Source organism: Homo sapiens, chromosome 6, assembly GCF_000001405.40.
Source record: "Homo sapiens chromosome 6, GRCh38.p14 Primary Assembly".
NCBI classification, from domain to species: domain Eukaryota; kingdom Metazoa; phylum Chordata; class Mammalia; order Primates; family Hominidae; genus Homo; species Homo sapiens.
In genome coordinates this window covers 76,295,111-76,302,090 of record NC_000006.12, presented here as the reverse complement: position 1 = coordinate 76,302,090, position 6,980 = coordinate 76,295,111, and the positions used below count along the sequence as shown (strand labels likewise).

The 6,980-nt window shown below is 39.9% G+C and overlaps 1 annotated feature.

The window, feature by feature from the left end:
* Positions 545 to 730: a silencer, noted in NCBI's record as "fragment chr6:77011078-77011263 (GRCh37/hg19 assembly coordinates)". NCBI's record gives its function as "represses an EF-1alpha promoter that drives an FKBP-Casp9 reporter gene in an ReSE screen in K562 erythroleukemia cells {active_cell/tissue: K562}" and the evidence as "EXISTENCE:reporter gene assay evidence [ECO:0000049][PMID:32094911]".

Here is a 6,980-nt window from a genome sequence, read left to right as displayed (position 1 = left end):
ACAATTAAAAGAACTAGAGAAGCAAGAGCAAACAAATTCAAAAGCTAGCAGAGGACAAGAAATAACTAAGATCAGAGCAGAGCTGAAGGAGATAGAGACATAAAAAACCCTTCAAAAAAAAAAATCAATGAATACAGGAGCTGGTTTTCTGAAAAGGTCAACAAAATAGACTACTAGCCAGACTAATGAAGAAAAGAGAGAAGAATTAAATAGATGCAATAAAAAATGATAAAAGGGATATCACCACTGATCCCACAGAAATACAAACTACCATCAGAGAATACTATAAATACCTCTATACAAATAAACAATAAAATCTAGACAAAATTGGCAAATTCCTGGATACATATATCCTCCCAAGTCTAAACCAGGAAGAATTCAAATCCCTGAACAGACCAATAACAAATTCTGAAATTGAGGCAGTAATTAATAGCCTACCAACAAAAATAAGTCCAGGACCAGACGGATTCACAGCCGAATTCTACTAGAGGTACAAAGAGTAGCTGCTACCATTCCTCTGAAACTATTCCAAACAATAGAAAAAGAGGGAATCCTCCCTAACTCATTTTATGAGGCCAGCATCATCCTGATACAAAAACCTGGCAGACACACAACAAAAATAAAATTTCAGGCCAATATCCCTGATGAAAATGGATGCAAAAATCCTCAATAAAATACCAGCAAACCAAATCCAGTAGCACATCAAAAAACTTATCCACCAAAATCAAGTCAGCTTCATCCCTGGGATGCAAGGCTGGTTTAACATATACAAATAAATAAACTTAATCCATCACATAAACAGAACCAATGACAGAAACCACATGATTATCTCAATAGATCCAAAAAAAAAAGGCCTTCAATAAAATTCTACACCCCTTCATGCTAAAAACTGTCAACAGACTAGGTTATATGGAACATATCTCAAAATAATAAGAGCTATTTATGATAAATTCACAGCCAATATCACACTGAATGGGCAAAAAGTGGAAGAATTCTTTTTGAAAACTGGCACAAGACAGGGATGCCCTCTCTCACCACTCCTACTCAACATAGTATTGGAAGATCTGGCCAGGGCAATCAGGCAAGAGAAAGAAATAAGGCATATTCAAATAGAAAGAGAGGAAGTCAAATTGTCTCTGTTTGCAGATGACATGATTGTATATTTAGAAAATCCCATCGTCTCAGCCCAAAATCTCCTTAAGCTTTGATAAGCAACTTTGGCAAAGTCTCAGGATACAAAATCAATGTGCAAAAATCACAAGCATTCTTACGCACCAATAACAGACAAACAGAGAGCCAAATCATGAGTGAACTCCCATTCACAATTGCTATGAAAAGAATACCTAGGAATACAATTTACAAGGCATGTGAAAGACCTCTTCAAGGAGAACTACAAACCACTGTTCAAGGAAATAAGAGAAGATACAAGCAAATGGGAAAATATTTCATGCTCATGGATATGAAGAATCAATATTGTGAAAATGGCGAGAGTGCCCAAAGCAATTTATAGATTCAATGCTATCCCCATCAAGTTACCATTGACTTTCTTCACAAAATTAGAAAAAAACTACTATAAATTTCATATGGAACCAAAGAAGAGCCTGCATAGCCAAAATAATTCTAAGCAAAAAGAACAAAGTTGGAGGCATCATGCTACCTGACTTCAAACTATACTACAAGGCTACAGTAACAAAAACAGCATGGTACTGTTCGCAAAATATATAGACCAATGGAAGAGAACAGAGGCCTCAGAAATAACACCCACAATCTACAACCATCTGATCTTTGACAAGCCTGACAAAAACAAGCAATGAGGAAAGAATTCCCTATTTAATAAATGGCGTTAGGAAAACTGGCTAGCCATATGCAGAAAACTGAAACTGGACTGCTTTCTTACACCTTAAGCAAAAATTAACTCAAGATGGATTAAAGACTTAAACGTAAGACCTAAAGCCCTAGAAGAAAACCCAGGCAATAACATTCAGGACATAGAAATGGCCAAAGACTTCATGACTGAAACACCAAAAGTAATGGCAACAATAGCCAAAATTGGCAAATGGGGTCTTATTAAACTAAAGAGATTCTGCACAGCAAAAAGAAACTATAAACAGAGTGAACAGACAACCTAAAGAACAGGAGAAAATTTTTGTAATCTATTTACCTGACAAAGGGCTACTATCCAGAATCTACAAAGAACTTAAACAAATTTACGAGAAAAAAAAACAAAACTCCCCATCAAAAAGTGGGCAAAGAATATGAGCAGACACTTTTCAAAAGAAGACATTTATGTGGCCAACAAACATATGTAAAAAAAGCTCATCATCACTGGTCATTAGAGAAATGCGAATCAAAACTACAATGAGATACCATCTCACACAGTTGTATGGCAATCACTAAAAAGTCAGAAAACACGTGGAGCCAAGATGGCTGAATAGGAACAGCTCCAGTCTACAGCTCACAGCCTGAGCGATGCAGAAGATGGGTGATTTCTGCATTTCCAACTGAGGTACTGGGTGCATCTCACTGGGGAGTGTCAGAAAGTGGGTGGACAGTGGGTGCAGCACATCCAGCATGAGCCACAGCAGGGCAAGGCATCGCCTCACCCAAGAAGCACAAGGGGTCAGGGAATTCCCTTTCCTAGTCAAAGAAAGGGGTGACAGATGGCACCTGGAAAATTGAGTCACTCCCACCCTAGTACTACACTTTTCCATGGTCTTAGCAAACGGCACACCAGGAGATTATATCCTGCACCTGGCTCAGATGGTCCTATGCCCACAGAGCCTCGCTCATTGCTAGCACAGCAGTCTGAGATCAAACTGCAAGGCAGCAGTGAGGCTGGGGGAGGGGTGCCTGCCATTGCCCAGGCTTGAGTAGGTAAACAAAGCCACCTGGAAGCTCGAACTGGGTGGAGCCCACCACAGCTCAAGGAGGCCTGCCTGACTCTGTAGACTCCACCTCTGGGGGCAGGGCACAGCCAAACAAAAGGCAGCAGAATCCTCTCCAGACTTAAATGTCCCTCTCTGACAGCTTTGAAGAGAGTAGTGGTTCTCCCAGCACGCAGCTGGAGATCTGAGAATGGACAGACTGCCTCCTCAAGTTGGTCCCTGACCCCTGAGTAACCTAACTGGGAGGCACCCCCCAGTAGGGACAGACTGACACCTCACATGGCCGGGTACTCCTCTGAGACAAAACTTCCAGAGGAACAATCAGGCAGCAACATTTGCTGCTCACCAATATCCGCTGTTCTGCAGCCTCCGCTGCTGATACCCAGCCAAACAGGGTCTAGAGTGGACCTCTAGCAAACTCCAACAGACCTGCAGCTGAGGGTCCTGACTGTTAGAAGGAAAACAAACAAACAGAAAGGACATCCACACCAAAACCCCATCTGTACGTCACCATCATCAAAGACCAAAGGTAGGTAAAACCACAAAGACAGGGAAAAAACAGAGCAGAAAATCTGGATACTCTGAAAATCAGAGCACGTCTCCTCCTGCAAAGGATCGCTGCTCCTCACCAGCAATGGAACAAAGCAGGATGGAGAATGACTTTGATGAGTTGAGAGAAGAAGTCTTCTGACAATCAAACTTATCCGAGCTAAAGGAGGAAGTTCGAGCCCAACACAAAGAAGTTAAAAAACTGAAAAAAAAATTAGATGAATTGCTAACTAGAATAACCAATGCAGAGAAGTCCTTAAAGGACCTGATGGAGCTGAAAACCAAGGCATGAGAACTACATGATGAATGCACAAGCCTCAGTAGCTGATTAGATCAACTGGAAGAAAGGGTATCAGTGATGGAAGATCAAATGAATGAAATGAAGTGAGAAGAGAAGTTTAGAGAAAAAAAAGAATAAAAAGAAATGAACAAAGCCTGCAAGAAATCTGGGACTATGTGAAAAGACCAAATCTATGTCTGATTGGTGTACCTGAAAGTGACAGGGAGAATGGAACCAAGTTGGAAAACACTCTGCAGGATATTATCCAGAACTTCCCAAACCTAGCAAGGCAGGCCAACATTCAAAAGCAGGAAATACAGAGAATGCCACAAAGATACTCCTCCAGAAGAGCAACTCCAAGACACATAATTGTCAGATTCACCAAAGTTGAAATGAAGGAAAAAAATGTTAAGGGCAGCCAGCGAGAAAGGTCGGGTTACCCACAAGGGGAAACCCATCAGCCTAACAGCTGATCTCTCGGCAGAAACTCTACAAGTCAGAAGAGAGTGAGGGCCAATATTCAACATTCTTAAAGAAAAGAATTTTCAACCCAGTATTTCATAACCAGCCAAACTAAGCTGCATAAGTGAAGGAGAAATAAAATCCTTTACAGACAAGCAAATGCTGAGAGATTTTGTCACCACCAGACCTGCCCTAAAAGAGCTCCTGAAGGAGGCACTAAACATGGAAAGGAACAACCAGTACCAGCCACTGCAAAAACATGCCAAATTGTAAAGACCATCAAGTCTAGGAAGAAACTGAATCAACTAATGAGCAAAATAACCAGCTAGCATCATAATGGCAGGATCAAATTCACACATGAAACATTAACCTTAAATGTAAATGGGCTAAATGCTCCAATTAAAAGACACAGACTGGCAAATTGGATAAAGAGTCAAGACCCATCAGTGTGCTGTATTCAGGAAACCCATCTCATGTGCAGAGACACACATGGACTCAAAATAAAGAGATGAAGGAAGATCTACCAAGCAAATGGAAAACAAAAAATGGCAGGGGTTGCAATCCTAGTCTCTGATAAAACAGAGTTTAAAGCAACAAAGATCAAGAGACAAAGAAGGCTATTACATAATGGTAAAGGGATCAATTCAACAAGAAGAGCTAACTATCCTAAATATATATGCACCCAACACAGGAGCACCCAGATTCATAAAGCAAGTCCTTAGAGACCTAGAAAGAGACTTAGACTCCCACACAATAATAATGGGAGACTTTAACACCCCACTGTCAACATTAGACAGATCAACAAGACAGAAAGTTAAAAAGGATACCCAGGAATTGAACTCAGCTCTGCACCAAGCAGACCTAATAGACATCTACAGAACTCTCCACCCCAAAATCAACAGAATATACATTCTTCTCAGCACCACACCACACTTATTCCAAAATTGACCACATAGTCAGAAGTAGAGCACTCCTCAGCATATGTAAAAGAACAGAAATTATAACAAACTGTCTCTCAGACCACAGTGCAATCAAACTAGAATTCAGGATTAAGAAACTCACTCAAAACCACTCAACTACATGGAAACTGAACAACCTGCTCCTGAATGAATACTGGGTAGAGAACGAAATGAAAGCAGAAACAAAGATGTTCTTTGAAACCAATGAGAACAAAGACACAACATAACAGAATCTCTGGGACACATTTAAAGCAGTGTGTAGAGGGAAATTTATAGCACTAAATGCCCACAAGAGAAACAAGGAAAGATCTAAAATAGAAACCCTAACATCACAATTGAAAGAACTAGAGAAGCAAGAGCAAACACATTCAAAAGCTAGCAGAAGACAAGAAATAAATAAGATCAGAGCAGAACTGAAGGAAATAGCGACATAAAAAACTCTTCAAAACATCAATGAATCCAGGAGCTGGTTTTGTGAAAAGATCAACAAAACTGATAGACCACTAGCAAGACTAATAAAGAAGAAAAGAGAGAAGAATCAAATAGATGCAATAAAAAATGACAAAGGGGATATCACAACCGATCCCACAGAAATACAAACTACCATCAGAGAATACTATAAACACCTCTACACAAATAAACCAGAAAATCTAGAAGAAATGGATAAATTCCTCGACACATACACCCTCCCAAGACTAAACCAGGAAGAAGTTGAATTTCTGAATAGACCAATAACAAGCTCTGAAATTGAGGCAATAATTAATTGCTTACCAACGAAAAAAGTCCATAACCAGATAGATTCACAGCCGAATTCTACCAGAGGTACAAGGAGGAGCTGGTACCATTCCTTCTGAAACTATTCCAATCAATAGAAAAAGAGGGAATCCTCCCTAACTCATTTTATGAGGCCAGCATCATCCTAATACCAAAGACTGGCAGAGACACAACAAAAAAAGAATTTTAGACCCAATATCCCTGATGAACATCGATGCAAAAATCCTCAATAAAATACTGGCAAACTGAATCCAGCAGCACATCAGAAAGCTTATCCATCATGATCAAGGGGGCTTCATCCCTTGGTTGAAAGGCTGGTTCAACACACACAAATCAATAAACGTAATGCAGCATGTAAACAGAACCAACGACAAAAACCATAGGATTATCTCAATAGATGCGGAAAAGGCCTTTGACAAAATTCAACAACCTTAATGCTAAAAACTCTCAATAAATTAGGTATCGATGGGACGTATCTCAAAATAATAAGAGCTATCTATGACAAACCCACAGCCAATATCATACTCAATGGACAAAAACTGGAAGCATTCCCTTTGAAAACTGGTACAAGACAGGGATGCCCTCTCTCACCACTCCTATTCAACATAGTGTTGGAAGTTCTGGCCAGGGCAATCAGGCAGGAGAAGCAAATAAAGGGTATTCAATTAGGAAAAGAGGAAGTCAAATTGTCCCTGTTTGCAGATGACATGATTGTATATCTAGAAAACCCTATCATCTCAGCCCAAAATCTCCTTAAACTGATAGGCAAATTTGGCAAAGTCTCAGGATACAAAATCAGTGTACAAAAATCACAAGCATTCCTACACACCAATAACAGACAAACAGAGCGCCAAATCATGAGTGAACTGCCATTCACAATTACTTCAAAAAGAATAAAATACCTGGGAATCTACCTTACAAGGGACATGAAGGACCTCTTCAAGGAGAACTACAAACCAGTGCTCAATGAAATAAAAGAGGATACAAACAAATGGAAGAACATTCCATGCTCATGGGTAGGAAGAATCAATATTGTGAAAATGGCCATACTGCCCATGGTAATTTATAGAT